Source organism: Homo sapiens, chromosome 17, assembly GCF_000001405.40.
Source record: "Homo sapiens chromosome 17, GRCh38.p14 Primary Assembly".
NCBI classification, from domain to species: Eukaryota; Metazoa; Chordata; class Mammalia; order Primates; family Hominidae; genus Homo; species Homo sapiens.
In genome coordinates this window covers 5,126,114-5,145,992 of record NC_000017.11, presented here as the reverse complement: position 1 = coordinate 5,145,992, position 19,879 = coordinate 5,126,114, and the positions used below count along the sequence as shown (strand labels likewise).

The window sequence follows — 19,879 nt, the reverse complement described above, 5'->3', positions numbered from 1 at the left end:
AAATGCAGGTTTCATTGAAAGCCTTAAATGCTGTGTACAGATATATCTGACCTGTAAATATAATAGCAAATATTTCAGCCTAGAATTTTTATTTTATGGGTAAACACTAAAACAGATGGTACTTAGGGATAATATTAAGTGAAATCAGTATTTTTTTGGTGTTCATCTGACATAAAAGTGTGAGTGGCTTTGCAGGGTTTTAAAGAGAGTTGCTGGCATATTTGAAACCAAAAAAACATGCCCCAATCTACATCTTTCAAACCTCAAGTCATGCCTAAAATTAGGTTGCTCGATTATAATATGCTGACTACCAGTCTTTATTTGTAAACAAATAACTATGCTTACAAATTCAGGCTATTTAAATAAAGTAAATTTAATGGAATCAAGTAATTTTTCAGAACTTTGTGACCTACCTGTTATTTCTAAGTCCATGTAACTGTCCATTGGTAGTGGCAAAGACAAAAAATTGAAAGGGTCAAATCGGACACTTATATGCCCACATGTCTTGCATTTGACTTGAGATCTTAGCTGCCCATGGAACAAATCCACAATAATTGATCTATTTCTTCTTAGATGGTTGTCCCAGGCCTAGCAATAAAAAAGATGAGAATTTTCTCTCAAAATCCAAAAGAGAGGCATTTCTATATAAATTCACAGAAACTGGTTAAATATATTGGATTTAAAAGTAAAGAATATAATCCTTACTCTTCATTTAACATAAAATATTAAATTGAGATGGAAAATCCTATTTTTCATTTGTTCTTATCAAGGTAACAATGGTAAATATTAAAGTTATTTGTCCATTAATAAGTATAAAGCATGCCTATTGGTCACTGTATGCATTACTTTAGCAATTACGGGGACTCTTTAAATTCCACTGGACAATTATTCCTACATCCAGTCCCATAAAGTTTACAATGTGAAATGGCAACAGTTTTCTATATTCATTAAAGGTATTTTTGTTTTGGCATTATCACATAACAATTAAGCATAGAAATAGAAATTCCTTAATTTTTGCAGTAAAATTCTGATCTCAGAATAGTTTAGTTTGCATTTAAGTTGTGCTACATGTATTTGTGGTCAGAACATTTTGTCTATTGCTTACATTAGAAACTCAAAACTGACAAACCTCTGCAGCTACTTCCCAGTCTGGTCGGCCATCACTGTCCTTCAGTTCCACATATGGCTTTTCATGGACTCGGTTGAGATCTTCATGAAGACCATCCAAGAGAAAAGCCAGAAGTTCTTGGGAGTCTTGTTGCTGAAACCCATCAAACTTGGGAGCATATTTTGCTATGGTCCGCTATAAATATAAGAGAAGTCACAGTCATTATTTCCTACCCATAAAATTTGGAATGAACATGTCCTATAATCCAATCAGAGCCATTGTAAGAAAATAAATAGTATAGTACTTAGTCTGCCTCCATTTCAACAAATGTATTTTGGATAATCATGAAATCTTTTGAATCTTAATGTCAAATGACCAAAAAAAAAAAGAGAAGTATTTTGGCCAATACTGTGTCCTCAGTTCAGTATCATGTAAGCAAACTGTTCTTCAGGCACATAGATGTTATTTAAGACAGAAATATTAAAACAGCATTTGCTCACATGGAAAGACATCCTGTTCTATAATGTTTTACACATTTTTATATGCATATAAAATATGTATATTTTACAGGTACATAATATATACATAACATGCATAAAATAATGTGTATATAATAATACATAGCATGTATAAAATAATATGTGTATATATTATTTTATATAATGTAATGTTGTCTTCAACAATTACATTTTCTGGTCTTGTTGCATCCTAACTTTTATTAACCGCATTAGAATTATTTAGAGGATATAAATTAATTAGAATAGTGCCTGGCAAGAGGTAAGTAGTCAAATGTGTAGCTGTTATAGTTAATAATTTGTAATATAAAAAGCTTTTGCTTTGTATTTAAATAAAAATAATGAATAATCCTAACTTCACCAAAATCTACTACATGTGATATTAATATAAAACTTATATTCATTAGTTTCATTCATTCATTCTTCTACTTTTTTTTCTTTTTGGAGACAGAGTCTTACTCTGCTGCCCAGGCTGGAGTGCAGTGGTGCGATCTTGGCTCATTGCAAACACCACATCCCGGGTTCAAGCATTTCTCGTGCCTCAGCCTCCCAAGTAGCTGGGATTACAAGCATGCACCACTAACCACTATGCCTACCAAATTTTTTTTTTTTTTTTTTATTGATCATTCTTGGGTGTTTCTCGCAGAGGGGGATTTGGCAGGGTCATGGGACAATAGTGGAGGGAAGGTCAGCAGATAAACAAGTGAACAAAGGTCTCTGGTTTTCCTAGGCAGAGGACCCTGCGGCCCTCCGCAGTGTTTGTGTCCCTGGGTACTTGAGATTAGGGAGTGGTGATGACTCTTAACGAGCATGCTGCCTTCAAGCATCTGTTTAACAAAGCACATCTTGCACCGCCCTTAATCCATTTAACCCTGAGTGGACACAGCACATGTTTCAGAGAGCACAGGGTTGGGGGTAAGGTCATAGATCAACAGGATCCCAAGGCAGAAGAATTTTTCTTAGTACAGAACAAAATGAAAAGTCTCCTATGTTTACTTCTTTCTACGCAGACACAGCAACCATCCGATTTCTCAATCTTTTCCCCACCTTTCCCCCTTTTCTATTCCACAAAACCGCCATTGTCGTCATGGCCCGTTCTCAATGAGCTGTTGGGTACACCTCCCAGACGGGGTGGTGGCCGGGCAGAGGGGCTCCTCACTTCCCAGTAGGGGCGGCCAGGCAGAGGCGCCCCTCACCTCCCGGACGGGGCGGCTGGCCGGGCAGGGGGCTGACCCCCTCACCTCCCTCCAGGCCGGGGCGGCTGGCCGGGTGGGGGGCTGACCCCCCGACCTCCCTCCCGGATGGGGCGGCTGGCTGGGCGGGGGGCTGATAATTTTTTTTAGTAGAGACAGGGTTTTGCCATGTTGCCCAAGCTGGTCTTGAATTCCTGGCTTCAAGTGATCCACCCACCTCGGCCTCCCAAAGTGCTGAGATTACAGGCATGAGCCCCTGCGCCCAGCCTACTTCTTTGTATTCTACAGATATAACTATCTTAGTTATGTTGAAAATGTATTGGATTGGATGTAATTAATAAGACTCTGAGGTCCACCTTGCAGTTAGAATACTGCTAATAGTGAAGTATTACCAAAAAAGGTTTACTCTTCATATAAGATGTTTGACAAATTAGTAAAATGAATGACATCCCAAATTTAGAGTGTACCTTTGGTCTTTATCCTACCCACTGCATATACAGTAGTATTTTGCAAATATTTAAACAAGCAAAAGAATTTGGCCTCTTGTTTATACCAAGTAAAGGATCCAAAAACGTTCATTAAGCTAAAAGGCTAAACACAAAAAACAAGTAGAGAAAAATGATTAAACAACTATTTAGGAATTAAATACTTTTATATTATTTTAACCTGCTTACCCGAAGCTTTAATGGGGCAACACTCTTCTGAGTTCCACTCCAGAGTTCCTGCACTAAATCACCATAGCATTTAGCCATATGCCCCTTCATACCAATGGGATTTGTCCTAGAAGTTTGAGAGGAAAATTTGTTGCCAAAGATTCTCATAAATCACAATCATGTGGGCAAAGATGCCTAGCATCTCACATCAAAATATCTTTTCTTTTTGAAACAAGAGATGTATTCCTTGGCCTATTTCATATTAAATAGGGCAAATAAGATAAAATCTTTCTCCCGCAGGGTGAAAAAAGAGGAAATTTAGGTGATAGTGGGTTTATATCAAAGTCACAGGTTAAGAGGCCAGTGACTCAAGAAAGTTTACCTGTTGAGTTCATAAAGATGTCTCCCTGAGATAAAATACTGTGTCAGTGGCTGTGTGTTACTAACGCACTGGATGCTTGAGTTCATGAAGCATGTGTTTCCCAGGTTGCTTAGACCTGTGGCTCCCTTTTCTGTGGGAACTGGAACAAACAATATGAGAACCAAAGCTTAGCTGTAGTAATATGCCATGGCACAAACAGTTACTTATATTCAATGAAAAGATTTTTTATAACTCTCATAATCAGCTAAATGGTGCTAATAATTCTCTAGCAGGTCTTTGAAATGCTAGAGAAGGCTTTTCATGGTATGTCTGGCAACAGTGATGATCCATGCTCATTTGTAACCCAGAAGCAGCAATTATTCTTTTTAATTGCTATGATTTTTCAAAATAATTCAAACAATTATTCTTCTAGCATGTCTTTTAAAACATATAAATTATTAAATTGCAGAGTTAGAAAGAAATTTAGAAAATAATTTGATGGTGGGTTTGCCAACATCAAATGCTGCTTCAGGAAAAAAGAAAAAGAAGGGCCCTAATTACTTTTGAACTAGAAAACCAAAAGTTGTTAGCACTTTAATAGTTGAAAGAAGAAAAAAAATACATTTAAAATAATCTCTTTAAAAAATAATACTGGAGACTTACCCTTTTGTCTATCTATTTTACTACTATTTGCTGTAAAAGACATCTCCTCAGGCCAACTCATATCTTTGTTGTGAACTGGAAGGACAGATAGGAATGTGTTAATTTCTTATCTGTCTAATTTACACCCACTTGATTGCTTCTGTTTTTTTTTTTTAAAGACATCTTATTCCTAAATCGGAAGTTTTAAAATCTAGCTAATTTTAGTACATGCATTGCTTAATGATGAGGTTACATTCTGAGAAATGCATCATTAGGTGATTTTGTCTTTGTATGAACATCACGGAGTGTACCTACACAAACCTAGGCTATGTATGGTATAGGCTGTTGCTCCTTGGCTACAAACCTGTACAGTATGTTACTGTATTGAACACTGTAGGCAACTGTAACACAATGGTAAGTATTTGTGTACCTAAACATGTTAGAACATAGAAAAGGTACAACTAAAAATACAGTATTATAATCTTATGGGACCACTGCAGTAAGCCATGATTGCACCACTGCACTCCATCCTTGGTGACAGAGTGAGACTTTATCTCTTAAAAAAATTTAAGAAATTCAAGCTAGAGCAGCTGATGGATATTGAGGCCTAGATTCACTGTCAAAGTGTTTCTTAAAGGGTGCTCTCCAGAACACCATGGAAAACTCATTGACTGTATAAGTTTGAAAATCCCTGCCCACAGGTCTACCCTTGTGTATGAGTAATCAGCTCTACCATTCAGCCCAGGTGTGTGTTTACTGGACCATCTGCAGGAAGCTGAAGAGGCATGAGCTGAAGGCAGAGGGTGAGTCCAAGATGGGATCTTAGGACAGGTATGAGAAGTTAGGCGAAAATGGGACAATTATAGCCTTAATAACCTTAGATAATAGTTCACATTATTATTTAGTTAATAGGATTGTACTCCCATTACATTTCTTAATTTTTTTTAAGAGATATTGTCTCACTCTGTCACCCAGGCTGGAGTGCAGTGGTACAATCATGGCTCACTGCTTCTTGGAACTCATGGGCTCCAGCAATCCTCCTGCCTCAGCCTCCTGACTAGGTGGGACTATAGGCACATGCCACCATGCCTGGCTAATTTCTTTGACTTTTCTCTAGAGACAGGGTCCACCTATGTTTCCCAGGCTGGTCTCAGACTTCTAGACTCAAGTGAACCTGAACCTCCCGCCTCGACCTCTCAAATTGCTGGGATTACAGGTGTGAGCCACCACACCCGGCCTAAATTTTTTATGGGCCATGCTATTACAAAACGTCATTATTAGGGGCAGCTGGATGGAAGGTGTAGGAGGACACTGTAGTGCCTTTACAATATTTCTGTATATCTAAAATCATTTCAACAGGAAACATTTATTTCAAAACGTGAAGGTGGTTATCCTTCCATGAGTTTAAAGACAGGCTCATGGTGTTGTCAGAATTCAGAACGCTGGTCGTGGGGCTGGGGGTGCTGGGATGGGGCTGGGCATGGTTGGCTTTGTGATCTGGGGGCTGGTGTGTTCCATCTGTGCATGTCTTTCAAGCTGCACGCTTTCTTAATAAATTTTCATAAGTTTAACAAAAAATAAAACAAGGATGCGAAGCCTGCTTGGATTGTTAAGCCTCGGGAAATTATCCAGCCATGAGCCCTGGCCCAGATGCTTCTAGAAGCCTGGAGGGAACTGAGAACTTTCCAAGTAGAGGTGGCAGAGGCAAGGCCCTGAAGTGGGAGCGCACTGCTGCTCGTCCCTAGCTGCAAAGGAGGTATCCCGGTCGGAATCAGTGCTGGGTGCACTGCAGGGCCGGGAAGTCCATGCCCACATTGTGGCTCAGTGCAGTGAAAGCCAACCTCACCCTCTCCGCAGTGTTCAGCCTGCCAGCAGGTGGCCAGCTGGTCCTCCTGGGATATGGCACGGACCCAGCAGCTCCATTCAAAATCATAATGGGGGAACCAAGGGCCCCCTATATCCAGGTCCGTTGGGAGCCGGGGCATTGACTTCCACTCCAGGAATCTCCAGGAACCCTGAGGTCCTCCCTGAGCCAGGGCCAGGCTGGGCACACCCTGAGTGCCCACAGGGTACGTGTCTTCCCGGACAGCCCCACCAGGACAGGGCGTGGAAAAACGAGATGCCCATGGCGGGGAAGCTGAGCAAATGGGCCGCTGGAACTGGGCTGGTGGGCCTGGAGGGGCCTGCCTATACCCCTTGCAGAGGGTCTTCCCACCACGTGAAGCCGGCACAGGCCTGGGTGCCAAGGACCCTTGCTCGCGTTTGGCTGAAAGGAAAACAGACGTGGTCAGCATCTCCAGTGAGCCCATGCAGGCCTTTCCGGGCTGGGCCCCACCTGCCTGCATCTCTGGAGTCCTTGGGGTCTCTGTGTGGCCCCTGTGGTCTGACACTGACGACACGCCTGTAGTCTGCTGATCCCAGAGGGAGGGGTGTGTGCTGCCTGGCATGGGGAAGCCGTTGGGGCATGGTGGGTGGCTCCTGGGACTGCCCCCAGGGTTCAGACTGGCTGGGGGCTTCCTGCCACACACCTTCGTCCCAGGGCTGTTGGGCCTGGGATATGGCCCCCCATCAGAACTCAAGTGGGAGGGGCCTTGGATGTCACCCAGCTCCTTGCCACCTCACATGGGGACCTGTCTCCGCAGTGGGTGACTGGGCCCGGACGTGGGTCACCCTCTGCCCCCCTGGGCTGCCCAGTCCATGCCAGGACTGACCGTTCCCACATCTGGCTGAATTCTTGGCTCTGGCTCTGGGCCCGGGGTCCCGCCTGTGCCCTCTCCCTGAATGCCCTGTGGGTCAGGGACACCCGATTCCCTTGTCTCCCTTGCTCAAGGCTTGTTGTCCTGGCAACCTTGGAGGAGCGTGCAGGAGTGAGGGGCCTCTGCTGCTCTCTGAGGCTGTGGGTGCTTGCAGGGAGGGGCGGGGTCTCCCACAAATGGGTCTGGCTCATCTAGTAACTTTGAGGGCCCTGTGAGGGAGAGAGCGAGACACCGTGGAAAGTGGGAGGGGGCTTGTTGGAGGGTCTTGCCCACATCCCTCTCCTGCGTGCACAACACATCCAGTATACACGCACTGAGTGCCTGCCCTGAGGACCGGTGGGCCTCCTGTACTTTCTTAGAGTCCAGGAGGAAGAGGAGGAAGAAAAGGTGAAGAGGAAGGCCCAGGTAGTAGGGTTGCTGGTCCGGGGCACCCGCCCACTATTGACTGCCCCAGAGGCTGACATGGGAGGGGACATGGCACTGGAGCCCACCTGGGGGTGGCAGGTCCCCTTGCTTCCTTGTTAGTTTCTTCGTAGAGGCCCTAAGATGCTTGAGCACGGTGTCATCGTTCATGGCCCAGGTATCGAAGAATTGGTTCCGCAGACGTGCCCACAGGCCACACCTGGATGTCTTCATGAGGCGCTCTAGGGACAGGGTGGATATCAGGCCAGGAGAGTTCCCTGGGAATGGTCACAGCTCATACCCTGTGGCCACTTCAGTCTCCCACTGGGCGGTGCCGAATCCTTTTGTGGCCACCCCAGGCATCCAGATGTACACAGGAGACTGTGGCTGGGGGGTGATCTGGACAGGGAAGTGCTCACCACACTCTCGACTTTCATCTGGGTCATGTGGGGGATGGGCTCGGTGTCACAGTGCCCTGCCCAGCCCACCTGGCCAGACCTCCCTCTGGGCCAGAACAGAGGATCATGAGGACAGTGTGAGGAAGCTGCCCTTGGGCCAGTCGGGGTCTGACTGCAGGGCTCCCCAGGCCCCACTGGGCACACGTAGACTTACTCTGCTGAACCTTAAGAGCAATGCTGGTTATTGGCATCAACACCTGTTCTCCTTCCACCAAATACACGTCCCACAGGCGCAGGGTGAGCCCGAGAGAGATCTGTGGGGACAGCAGGTATGAGAGAACCTGGCCCTTCCAGGCTGGGGCTGGTGGCTCGAGCTGCGCACACTGGGGCTTCAGTCTCCAGAGTCAGTGACCTTCCCCATGAGGGTCACCTGAGCCCTCCAGAATGCTGAGTCAGAAAAGGTCTTGCAACTTCTCATGGGGGGGTACTCATTTGAGTGGGTATGTGGCTCCTGGAGAGAGGGGCTTGCCCAGGGCTTGAGGCTTCCCTGAGCCCTCTCAAGTTGGGTCCTGACCCAGTCTGCCCATGAGGCTGGACCTGAGTCCCAGCCATTGCCCTGGGATGACCCCTCTTGGGCAGAGGGTTTTGCTTGTGTGTCCTTCGGGGACCCGCCTGAGCCTCCTGTGGGCTGGGAGTGAGCCAGACCCCCGGGCTGGGGAAGCACGGCACTGCAGGGCAAGGAGGGTCCCTGAGCCAGGGTCTCCCTATGCCTCCTTACCCCGTCAATCAGGTTCCGGAGAAGGCAGCCTAACGAGGCACACTGCCCGCATAGACCTTCCTTGTCCTGATGGGATGAACAGAGGTGCTCAGGGCCCCCTGGGCTGCCCTAAAAACCTCCATCTTCCAGGGCCTCTGAAGACCTTTCCCCTAGTGCAGAACACTGGGCGGTGTCCAGAACTCCCCACAACACTGTCCCCTTCCCACACTCCCGGTGGACACACTGCCCTTTGCCCTGCTCTGCAGGAGCTGGGCCCCCATCCCTGTGCCTCTGTCTCCTCCAGGGCATGAAAGGAAACCAACTCCCAGCCCATGGAGAACCCGACGTCCCAGGTCAGGCCCTAGCTGGGACTCCGCCAGTCACCAGTCCCACAAGGGACTCCAGTCCCCCTGCTCCTACAGCCCCACAGGAGGCAGGGCCTCTGAGAAGAGCCGAGGGGACCATAAACTCACCTGATGCCACATGGTCTTGGGTTGTGACTTGGGTACCACATGCTCCTGTTGGTCTTGGAGCCCCTGGACTGTCCCACCATTTGGGCTGTGGAATCCTGAGAAGCCCCCAGCCCATCATGAAATCAGAGCCTTCCCCCAAGGTGTGGAGCCATCAGCTGAAAGAGCTGGGCAGCTGCAGAGGCCCCCAAACCCCAAGGCCTCCCGCCCTCCCATCTGGTGACCCTACCATGCGGCCTTTGCCCTGGGGAGGTGGGACAGGAACATCCCCTGGAGCCTGGCTGGAGGTTCCCCTGGAAGCCTCCTGGGCCAGGGTGCAAAAGGGCAAGCCTGACTTTGAGGCCACAACAGAGCGGCCAGAACAGGGTGGGTGCTGAGCTTCCTGGTCATCTCCTGGAAGTGGGGTCGGGCCAGGGGACACGGGATGGTGAGATGCTGCCACCTGGGCTTGGTCAGCCCATTTGTGGGCACCAAGGGCAGCAGGAGCCCAGGCAGCTGGAGGGCAGGAGGACCCTCAGGGAGGGGAGAGTCAGCTGAACAGAATCAGAGCCGGAGGATGTGGCTCCAGGACACAGAGGGTGGCCATGGGGAGGATGAGATGCCCTCTGCTGATGGGGATGAAAGGCATCTGACTTGGGTTGTGGGGGTCAGCTGCGGACTCCTGTGGGACCCTCAGCAGAGACGTCCTAAATGCTCCCAACAAGCTGGCAACACAAGGAGTGTGCCTTGGCTGAAAGCCGAGATCACCTGGCCACAGTGGCTTTCCCGGGTCTGGCTGCGTGAGGCCCCACGGGCAGCTGTTCACCTACCTGGCAGGGAGTGCCTCTCACTGGCCAGCAGCTGCACCAGTGCCCAGAATGCGTCCTCCTCAGGCAGATAAAGGAGGAACAAGGCGGTGATGTGGCTCAGGTCCCTGCAGTAGCCCACCTCCTGCAAGAGCCAGAGTCACCATGGAAGGACATCACCTGGGAGGGCTGAGGTCACCTGGGAGGACTCATGTCATTGGAGAGGGCAGAGGTGACTGGGGAGGCTTCCTCTGAAGAAGAGGCTTCCTCAGGATGCAAATTCATTTCATGACAAGAGCAAAGTCCATCAGGCACTTCAGCACCTTGTCCAAAATGTCTCCTGAGAGCACCGTCCTGCGTGTGACACTGCCAAGCTCCTTTGCTTTGGAGCAGCCCCAGGAGGAGGGCGTCATTTCTTGTTCTGAGAAGTGGTGGTCAGGCCCAGGTGACACCAGGAGTCCAGGCCCCAAGTCCTTTGTGTCTCAGCTTGACCCCTTGAGACCACCCCCTTGCTTGGAGGTTTATGCCAGCGGTGACCTAGAATCCTACCTCCTATATCCTGGTGAGTCACAAATACCAACTTTAAAAGAAGCAACGACACCCCCACCAGACACCCACTCCTGTGAATATGGAAATACAGCCTGGGAACCTCACTGCCGGGAATACTCACCGGGTTATACTCCGAATAGGCCAGGAGGATGTAGAATAGTTCCCTCTGCCTAGGAAACACAGAAAGGGGGCTATGGTTTGGTTTGTGCAGATGCTGTTAGTTTCACTTTGTCTACAAATCCTAACAAATCCCATTTCAGGTTCAGATGATTCACCAGATAAGCAGTGAGCTCTTCAGGGCCTGAGACTGTTGAAGAAATGTTTCAGTAAAATCCACATCTGTGACATGCAAATAGCCCAGTTCTACAGTGAGTTGACCGATCCTTTTCACGCTGAATGATTTTTTTTTTCTTTTGCACACACACCAGTTCAGTCTTTGGGTGCACAGTTCCTCCATGGTTCCAAACCAATGTGCAGTCTCCCGGCCACCGCTCCAGCCCCTCCTGGAGCGACTCCATCATCTTCCAAATCTCCAGGGTTTCCCCTATGCACCCAGCCTCTCCCCGATCCGTCAGCCCCTGGCCACCCAGACTGCTGCTCAGTCCCTATGGTTTGGCCTTTTCCAGAATGGCCTAGGAATGGGAATCCTACTATGGTAGCTTATTGGGTCTGGCTTCTTTCCCTTAGCAAAATGCATCTAGGATCCACCCACGTTCGTGCAGGCATCACTGGCTCGTTCCCTTTTCTCACTGGGTCTTCCGTTTGAAGGGAGGACCAGCCTGTCTCTCCCCATTCCCGTGTTGAAGGCCATCCCCGAAGGCTCCATGTGTGAGTGATGAGGAATCAAGCAGTGAACCTGGCATGCAGGTTTCATGTGGATGTCAGTTTTCAAATCAGTGGGTTCAATATCTGTGACACCATGGGGATGTGTGGTTCAAGTCCACTGAGCTTTGTGAGCCACTGCCCAACTGGCTGCCAATGTGGCTGTGCCATGTCATGTTCCCAGCAGACCTGGATGACAGTTTCCAGGACCCCTAATTCTCCCAGCATTTGGTGCTGTGTTGCCTGGGGAGGCTCATGGGCCCTCCATCCTGCCACCCTCCTGTGGGTCCTACCATGGGTCTCCGTGGGTCAGGGAGAGCACCTTTCACCATTGCGTGTGATTTTCTTTGCTGTTTTCTGTCTCCTCAGGATCCTCCTGGGTTCTGGCCCCACATGTTCCAGCCTGGCCCAGGGCTTGGAACCAGGGAGGTGCTCGGTTCATGGTGCCGGCTGCTCCCTGGGCCAGGAGAGCTCTTGGCAGCTCTGTCATCCCTCCTGGGTGACCCTGGCTTCTGCTCCGGGGAAGTCCCCATCCCTCTCGTTCACCCCATCTCTGCTGGGACTGTGTGGCTCCCGTAGGCTTACTTGGCTCCATATCGATCCCTAAAGAAGACATGGTTCCGGAGAGTCGTCCTCACGTCCAGGTCGATGTGGTGGATGTGTTCAGATGACCTCTTGCCCCTCTCCTTCATGATCTGTAGGGCAGGGCCAAGAGGAGGAAGCAGCCTCAGAACAGATGGAAGACTCCCTGCCCCAAATGGCAGTCAGCCCACAGTCAGCACTTCGGGAAGGAAGGAAAGAAGGAAGGTTTCCTTCTGCAGAAAGCTGCTTTTTGGCTTGCTACTGAGGCCAGGGAGGGTCACCACAGCCGAGTTTGTCTGTGGTGACTGTGTCACCGTCCATGCCCAGGATGTGCATCTAACCATCCCCTCCCACCCCCCCACCCCAGGGTGGGCTTGACGTTCCCTCCAGCTGGAGACCTGGGCCCCTGACACGGCCTGTCCTGTTTGTTGTGCTCTGGCTGAGCATACCTGGTATCTTCCGGGGTTTTTCAACTTGATTTCCTGAATGTTCAGGAGGACTGACCACACCGGGCCCCGGATGTTCATGGGAATTCCCTTGTACACTCGATCTATGAGCTGTGGGCAGAAAAGAATCTGGTGTCACAGGCCATGGGGTGACCCCAGTGAGGACCAGAGCCTGGGGATTCTGGAAATTGTCAGTTTTGGCCCCATGATTCCTCAGTAGAGGCGAGATCAAGCTGGGACAGGGTCTCCCTTCCCAGGACTGAAAGAGTGGATGGACACTCAGAGTCTAAACTCTGATCCGAACCTTTTCCTTCCTTCGGGTCACCAGGGCATCCCTAGCCTTGAGCTCTGGGTGGTCCCAGCCCTAGATTCAGATTCCCTCCCAGCAAGGTGACACTTGCACGAATAGGCAGGCAATCTGGTGACCAGGCCTGCAGTCCTCTGGGCGAGGACAGTGTGCCACCCGCCCTCTGAGAGGCTGACGGTGCCAGGCCACAGCCATGGGTGCCTGTCCCCTGTTTCTGCAGAGAGTGCTTCCAGGGGCCTCTCCCTCCACACATTACTTTGCTACTGTGCTTATATGTCTCCCATTCTCCCAGCATTTCCATCCACTTGCTCGTTCGTGTCATCTCCCGCCGAATTTTCTGTCAAATGAGGCATGTTGGAGTTAGTGGAGCTGCCAGGCTTCCCAGAGCCGCCCATGGATGCTGAGTCTTGGGCTCTGGAGCCCTGGTGGGACCCAACTGGAAGGAGCCAGGGAAGGGCAGACCCTAAGGGCTGAGAGCCTTTGAGCAAATGAGCACCAATGGGCTGGCTTTGGGACCCCGGGACATGCCATCCTCAGGCCACAGACACACCAGTCTTAGGTCCCAGCCTCTAGGTGGGGTCCTGACACAAGCGCGCAGCCACCCCCCAAGCCAGGACTGTGGTTCTCACTTTGGAATTTTATCAAACTGCCAAAGTTACAGCAACTTGGGGTCAGGTCTCTGCTGCCCCTCCCAGTGACAGCGTGTTGCCCTCACCCGCCACCGCCCAGGCCAGCTGCTTCCTCTGCCTCACTGACCACCCGCCCAGTCCCTACGTCCCTGGACCAGCCCCTCCACGCATCAGGCTCTTACCTTCGCCTCCCGTGCAGTCACAGGAGGCAGCTCCGTCTCACTGTAAGGCAACCCAGGCAGAGCTGAGGACGTGCACAGGGCCTGGAGCCGCCCAAGCCTGGGAGCCGACCCCCAGAAAGGACTGGCTCTGTCCCTATCCAGCTCAGGGCTCAGCCCGGGAGAAGGCACAGGGAAGGGAGGACAAGGGCCTTCCTGTGGCTCTGACTCCCAGGAGGGGCAGGACCTGGGAGAAGAAGGAGTGCAGGGACAGCCTGGCTGGGGTTACTGGGGCCCCTGGCATGGGGGGTGGTCAGGCCACAGTGGGGCTGCCCATCCTGGACTTGAGGTGGTGCTTTCTGCTGGAGCTGAGAAAGGTTAGCCCTGAGATGGGATGGGGGCCACCCAGCATGGGCGACCGGGCCCTGACAGGAGTCCCTCAGGGAGTGACCACATCACCCCGCCAGGGTCAAGGAAGCCTGCCCTGAGACCTTCCCGGTATACTCTGGGTGCACTAAGGGCCCATCCCACTTGACAGCCCCAAGGCTCTTGCAGGTTCTGACGTCTCAGCATCCACCTGCCTCTCCCTGCATCTGAGCCACACACCCTGCATTTCAGAAGTGGCACGGCTCATCAGCTCCCTCCCACCCTACCTCCCCTGGGATCCTCTGTCTCTCCATCCTATGATCCCTGAGGGATGGGCTCCTGGCTGGGCTCCTCTTACCTGGCCCCAGATCCCTTCCCAGCACCAGACCCAGGGTCTTTAGTCACAAGCCCTGCTGCCTCCCTGGCCTCACCGTGAGAGGCCCAGAATGGGGCCCTGCCCATCTTCTCCCCCATTCCCCTAGGGCCACAACTCCCACTGTCCCCATGCCTTTCCCCCTTCCCCATGGGGACACTGAGGGCTGTAGATATAAGGACATGGGGGAGAACAGGGGTAGGTGGGCCCTCAGAGACCTGCTGGACAACAGCCCTGAGGCTGGCCAAGCATCCACCTGCCTCTCCCTATACCCGAGCCACACACCCTGTGTTTCAGAAGTGGCACGCCTCATAAGCTCCCTCCCACCTTATCTTGCCCGGCATCCGCTGTCTCTCCATCCTATGATCCCTGAGGGTTGGGCTCCAGGCTGGGCTCCTCTTACCTGGCCCCAGATCCCTTCCCAGCACCAGACCCAGGGTCTTTAGTCACAAGCCCTGCTGCCTCCCTAGTCTCACTGTGAGATGCCCAGAGCGGGGCCCTGCCCATCTTCTCCCCCATTCTCTTCGGGCCAAAGCCCCCACTGTCCCCACACCTTTCCCCCTTCCCCATGGGGACAGTGAGGGCTGTAGCTCTAGGGAAATGGAGGAGGACAGGGGCCGGTGGGCTCTGAGAGACCTGCTGGACAACAGCCCTGAGACTGGGCCAGGTGTCTCCTCACCCTGTGGCCACAACCCTTGGATCTCACTGGGGTTGTCTCCTGGTAGACAGGACCAGAACCTCAGGCTGCCCCGCTCCTCTTGTGCTCACTTGCCGACAGAACTGCTGAGAGCCCAGGGGCCTGGCCTAGCCCAGTCTCCATTCCCACCAGCTCCCTAGTTGGGCCTTCCACCTCTGGCCTAACAACAACCTCGGGCTGGACCTGCAGGGGAGCCAGGGAGGAGTTCTGACCCTGGAAAAGAGGTTGGCCCGACCTAGCGAGACATGTCCTGCATCAGAAAGGCCTTTCTAAAAGCAAACCCATCCCTGAGCTGAGACAGCTGCTTTAGGGGTGAGGGGAGCATAGAGGATGACTCACTGCAAAATGCCAAAACGATCAATGCTGCTGTTGATTCCAACGGGCTCAGGCCCCTTGTCCTCTGGCAGCCCAGCTCGGTGTCCCTGTAACCCAGAGGGAGCCTTGGTGAGGGGTCCAAGGTAAAGGGTGCAAGGGCCTGGGGGTATTGGCCACCCGTCCCTGCCCTGTGCTCCTAGGGAACCCAGGACCCTTTGACCAGGGCGCACTGGAAGAGGCCTCCCTCCAAGGAGCAGACCGAACTGTACCTTGTCATACTTCATAAGTATGTCCTTCCGCTCCTGTGCCTGCAAACTATCTGCATTCTCTACCATGTCCATCCTGTGAGACAAAATTGTCTAAAGGTTACACTGTACCCGACAGCTTCGGAGAACACCTGAACCGCTCCCACCGGGCTCCCAGATGCTGGCTGGTTGTATAACCTTCATTCCACCACTGCACTCCGGTAAAAAGGGGCCAAACCCCATGGCCCACACCTCCATGGGTCTCTGCAGTCTGAAGCCCCAAGCAGGGGTGGGCATCTTCCCAAGGACTCGAGAAGAGTGGGACCTGGACAGAGAATCCGGTTGTCCCCATATGCCATGAAATGGGCACACACCTGCCCCGGCAGGTTGAATGGTGTCCACCTGCCAAGGGTGAAGAGCCTGTGATGGTCTATTCCAGGGATGTGGATGTGAACTGCGGTCAGGCACCAGAGGTCTCTGTACGATCGGCCTCCTGGGATGTTCAGGGCCACAGAGATGCCCAGTTTCCTACGGGGAACAAGATCTCTCCTGACTGCTCCATTCTACCCCGCTCATCACTTGGGCTACCATGGCCCTTCAGTCTAACCAGTGAAGCTGCTTTAGCAATAACACCATTTGAGCAGGAGTGTGTTTGGTTTTGGGGATGAAAATGATTACTGTCTCCAAAGCAGCCACTGTGCTCATGGAAACCATGTCTCTCAGGGAGGGACTGTGGACTCCACCATTCTGAGCTGTCCCCACAGGAGGGGGCTTCATTTTCCTGGGTCACTGATGAAGAACAGTGGGTCCTTGCTCCTGGAGGACATCTAGATGGACCGTCCCTCCTGAGAATACTCAGGGCAAAAGGAAAGCGAGGCCAGACAGAATAAGAAATACTTGGGGAGAGCCCCAGTGCCTGGACCCCTTTGAACACAAGGGAAGATAGTCTCCCCTCAGCCAGCTCTCCAGGGCTCCTTCACTTTCCACAACTGCCCAAGGGCAGAAGGCTCCCCATGCCACTCCCAGACAAGGGACTGTGTGTGTCCAGTGGGTCCCACAGTGACCATCAAGACCCAGCTTAGGCCCCAGGTGTGTTCTGAGGACCCTTCCCTCCTCCCCACCCACAGTGGATCCATCCCAGTGTCTCTGCCAGGGCCAGGCTCTGCCCCATTGGGATCGGAAATCTGGGCAGATTTGGGATCTAGAGCAGGGAGGTCTCAGGGTTGAGGCCTGAAGTCTAGCATGGCACACAGCAGGGCTGAGAGCAAAACCCAGGGTCTTGTCTGGATTCCCAGGCCAGTTACTGCCTCTCTGACCCCAGACGGCTCACCTGTCGAATGGGTACATTCGGGAACAGCACCCACTCTACGAAGCCACCATGAAGACGAAAGAGAAAATCGTCTACATGGGCAGTGTAGAACGGGCGCCCGGTGAGTGCTCAGGGATGACCCTCCTCTGTAGCTGCCCAGAGGCCAACACCGCCCATACCATAGCCACTGTCCCCAAGTCAGCCTGGAGGGAAGAGAGCAGGTCACACTCACCTGATTCTGATGAATCAGCTGGCCTGGGTTATGCCTCTCAGGGAGAAAACCTTTGAGTCCACAAAACCGCTTGTGAATACCACTGCGTGTGTGTAACTGCCGTAGAACACAGACGCAGTCTGGAGAGCGGATAGGTGCTAAGCACCAGTGACATTCTGAGGTCATGGCACGCATCACAATGGGGCCTTGCCTGGGTCAGCAGGGCCCAGAGTCAGGGTCCTCCGCTGCCTGAGGCGTCAACATGCCTGCCTGCAATGTGTTTGTGCACATGCGTGCACATGTGTATGTGGATAAACATGTCTGTGCACGTGTGTGTTGCTTCTCTGGCCAGGCCCGGCTGCCCCACTCATGTGTGCACCCAGTTCCTCATCACTGTCACCCCCGGAGCCCAGGACCAGCTTCAGACCTCCCTGACCTCAGCCCTCCCCGCCCAGGGTGGTCCTGGGATACACATAGGAGTGGAGGGAAGTGACTGCTGCTGTTGAATCTCAGAATACAAAAGCTAATACTATTACTTAATGGTATTTTTAGTATCTCTAATCGTCTTTTTAGTGTCTCTAATGGTATCACTTTTTCATTTCTGATATTTTAACTGGGTATTTCTCTCCATGACCCTTGGATATTCTAGCTAGAGGATCATGTGCGGAAAGTGCCAGGCACACAGTAGGGGCCCACTTTTCTAGACATGTTATCTAAAACCTGGCTCAGCTGTCCCACCCAGGGCCTAGGGGATGCCAAATTCCAGGGTCCAGAAAGAGCTTGGGATAAAATGAACATCCAAGGGGAGGGCTTTGACCTGGGCTTAGTCTGCCTGTGCCATCCAAACGGAGTCTCAAGTCCTGAGACAGGGCGTCCAGATGCCCAGTGCAGGGTCCCCCTGATCAACACCTGCTCCCCTGTACTCATTAGCAACCTCACCCACCCTACTCTCAAAGCACTTGGCCCTCGTATCTGGGAGCTCTGCAACTGTGGATTCAGCCAACAGCAGATGGAAAATATTCAGAAAACAAATCGGATGGTTGTCTCTACTGAACATGTGCAGACGTTGTTCTTGTCATCATTCCCTAAATACAGTATCACAACCATTTATATAGCATCTGCATTGTATTACACATAATGAATAATCTAGAGATGGTCTAATGTATACGGGAGAATGTGCATAGCTTATATGTAAATACTAGGTCATGTTATGTCAGCGACTTGAGCATCCATGGATTTTGGCATCCCCGGGGACCCTAGAACTAATCCTCCATGGATACCAAGGGATGACTATATAAACTCACTCAGGAAGGCTTCTCACTGGAGGAAGGGCCCAGTTCAGGACACACAGGGACATCTCCCTGGACTGCTGTCCATTCATCCATCCATTCATCCATTGTCTCCCCCGACTCCCCATCTCAGACTGTCCCAATGACAGCCCTAGCAAGAAGAGACAAGAAACAAGACAAGTTCACGTTGTCCAGTTTTGAGGTCTTGGAAGAAGTTGCACCAGTATGAGAATAGTGGGTCAGTTTTCTCCAGGATCCAGAAAGCATATTAGGCAGCCTCGGGGTGAGGAAAGGAGCCCAGCCTCTCCAGCAGCCACACAGACCTGCAGCAGGATGGGGCTGGGGCTGGTTTGGGGCGGAAGATAAGTGACAGCCAAGGTTTGTCAGCCTGCAGAGGGGTGGCTGACTCATGGACTAGGGGCGGCGGAGCCCAGTGGTTGCCCTTAGTTCTTGGATCCTGGGAGACTTCTGGAGCCTGGATCTGGACAGCCTAGGGGTGGAGGTGATGAGGGGCAGGGGTGGGACGGGAGGCCTTGCATGACTGGGTGCAGGGCAGGAAGCCAGCCAGGGACTGCTTTGCAGTGGCGGCTCCCATCCCCATTCCCACCCCAAACCCACCCCTCCCCCCACCCTGGTGCGGGGTCAGTCGTGGGCAGGTGTCCTCTGCTTTGGCCTTAGCAGATCCCAAGATGGAAGCTGGCAGCCACGTGGGCATGTCACTTGCGCCAGCTTTGTCCTGCAGTTTCTGCTTCCTGGAGCGTGGGGCGCCCACCCAGGAGAGCATGGGCACACCCCACACCTCTCACTTTGAGGGTGCTGGGAGGTGGGGGACCAAGGTCCTGCAGCCCTGTGCTTGTGCCGTGAAAATTAGCCTAGGAGTCCTGTGTCCAGCCGTCCACGTGGAGCCCCAGGAGCCTGAACAGTGGCATGAAGCGAGATGAGGAGAGAGAGAGAACTGGAAAAGGAGAGAGAAAGAGAGATGAGGAGAAGGGAATGAGAGAGAGGAAGAGAAATTGGGAGAGAGACAGAGGAGGCTGAGAGGATAAGGAGGGCGAGAGATGGGGAGAGAGACACAAAACGCAAAGAGACAGAGAGAGACGTGCATGAGTAGGAGGTCGAGTTACTCTTGATCCCAGTTCCCAGTGAAAACTGTAGGTCACCGTCACCTAACCACACATACAATAAAGTCTTCTGCCTGCTGCTTAGAGCCCTGAGAATCCCTTCTCATGGAGCATAAAACCTTTGACTACAGCCCTTCCTCACTACATTTTTGTTGTCTCTTCTGGTGAACCGTGATGTCTTGTCTATTGCCTTCCTGGGCTCAAGGATCCATAAAAAACCGACGCCTCTTTTGGGGAGGATCTGCAGTGCCTTCCACTCACTAGGCTCCCCAGGAAACTTGCGCACTTGGCTTGGGCCCTAAGCAGCTGGGTACATGCTGGGGCTCTGCTTCTCTCTTTCAGTAAGAAGGAGAACTAAGAAAGAGACTGAAGCATGGTCTACGGAGAAGGCACTTGCGCAAACACCAGGAGAATGAGGGT

At 51.7% G+C, this 19,879-nt stretch overlaps 1 protein-coding gene across 12 annotated transcripts in view, besides 4 other annotated features; it reads right to left on the bottom strand.

Annotated features, from left to right (window-relative positions):
- USP6 (ubiquitin specific peptidase 6) overlaps nt 1-19,879 on the bottom strand; it is a 58,960-nt gene that overhangs the window by 28,999 nt on the left and 10,082 nt on the right. For 7 of the 12 annotated variants that reach the window (NM_001304284.2, XM_011524059.3, XM_011524058.3 and 4 more), the window contains 21 exons: nt 18,354-18,489; nt 16,860-17,041; nt 15,904-16,057; nt 15,554-15,626; nt 15,309-15,391; nt 13,558-13,597; nt 13,003-13,083; nt 12,443-12,550; nt 11,997-12,106; nt 10,711-10,759; nt 10,065-10,185; nt 9,259-9,353; nt 8,807-8,872; nt 8,243-8,342; nt 7,720-7,872; nt 6,319-6,738; nt 4,494-4,568; nt 3,852-3,990; nt 3,491-3,596; nt 1,130-1,303; nt 414-588 (listed from right to left, as the gene is read on the bottom strand). In NM_001304284.2, coding sequence (NP_001291213.1) covers nt 414-588; nt 1,130-1,303; nt 3,491-3,596; nt 3,852-3,990; nt 4,494-4,568; nt 6,319-6,738; nt 7,720-7,872; nt 8,243-8,342; nt 8,807-8,872; nt 9,259-9,353; nt 10,065-10,185; nt 10,711-10,759; nt 11,997-12,106; nt 12,443-12,550; nt 13,003-13,083; nt 13,558-13,597; nt 15,309-15,391; nt 15,554-15,625 — 2,167 coding nt within the window. In that variant the 5' untranslated portion in view covers nt 15,626; nt 15,904-16,057; nt 16,860-17,041; nt 18,354-18,489. Of the gene's footprint in view, nt 1-413; nt 589-1,129; nt 1,304-3,490; nt 3,597-3,851; nt 3,991-4,493; nt 4,569-6,318; nt 6,739-7,719; nt 7,873-8,242; nt 8,343-8,806; nt 8,873-9,258; nt 9,354-10,064; nt 10,186-10,710; nt 10,760-11,996; nt 12,107-12,442; nt 12,551-13,002; nt 13,084-13,557; nt 13,598-15,308; nt 15,392-15,553; nt 15,627-15,903; nt 17,185-18,353; nt 18,490-19,879 lie in introns of those variants that run through there. The other 5 variants (XM_011524050.2, XM_011524055.3, XM_011524056.3 and 2 more) reach the window with 5 other exon arrangements.
- Nucleotides 6,473-7,143: an enhancer, noted in NCBI's record as "H3K4me1 hESC enhancer chr17:5042145-5042815 (GRCh37/hg19 assembly coordinates)". NCBI's record gives its function as "activates a minimal SCP1, AML or CMV promoter by ChIP-STARR-seq in naive H9 embryonic stem cells {active_cell/tissue: H9 hESC(naive)}" and the evidence as "EXISTENCE:reporter gene assay evidence [ECO:0000049][PMID:30033119]".
- Nucleotides 7,816-8,486: an enhancer, noted in NCBI's record as "H3K4me1 hESC enhancer chr17:5040802-5041472 (GRCh37/hg19 assembly coordinates)". NCBI's record gives its function as "activates a minimal SCP1, AML or CMV promoter by ChIP-STARR-seq in naive and primed H9 embryonic stem cells {active_cell/tissue: H9 hESC(naive and primed)}" and the evidence as "EXISTENCE:reporter gene assay evidence [ECO:0000049][PMID:30033119]".
- Nucleotides 8,487-9,158: an enhancer, noted in NCBI's record as "H3K4me1 hESC enhancer chr17:5040130-5040801 (GRCh37/hg19 assembly coordinates)". NCBI's record gives its function as "activates a minimal SCP1, AML or CMV promoter by ChIP-STARR-seq in primed H9 embryonic stem cells {active_cell/tissue: H9 hESC(primed)}" and the evidence as "EXISTENCE:reporter gene assay evidence [ECO:0000049][PMID:30033119]".
- Nucleotides 14,984-15,484: an enhancer, noted in NCBI's record as "H3K4me1 hESC enhancer chr17:5033804-5034304 (GRCh37/hg19 assembly coordinates)". NCBI's record gives its function as "activates a minimal SCP1, AML or CMV promoter by ChIP-STARR-seq in naive and primed H9 embryonic stem cells {active_cell/tissue: H9 hESC(naive and primed)}" and the evidence as "EXISTENCE:reporter gene assay evidence [ECO:0000049][PMID:30033119]".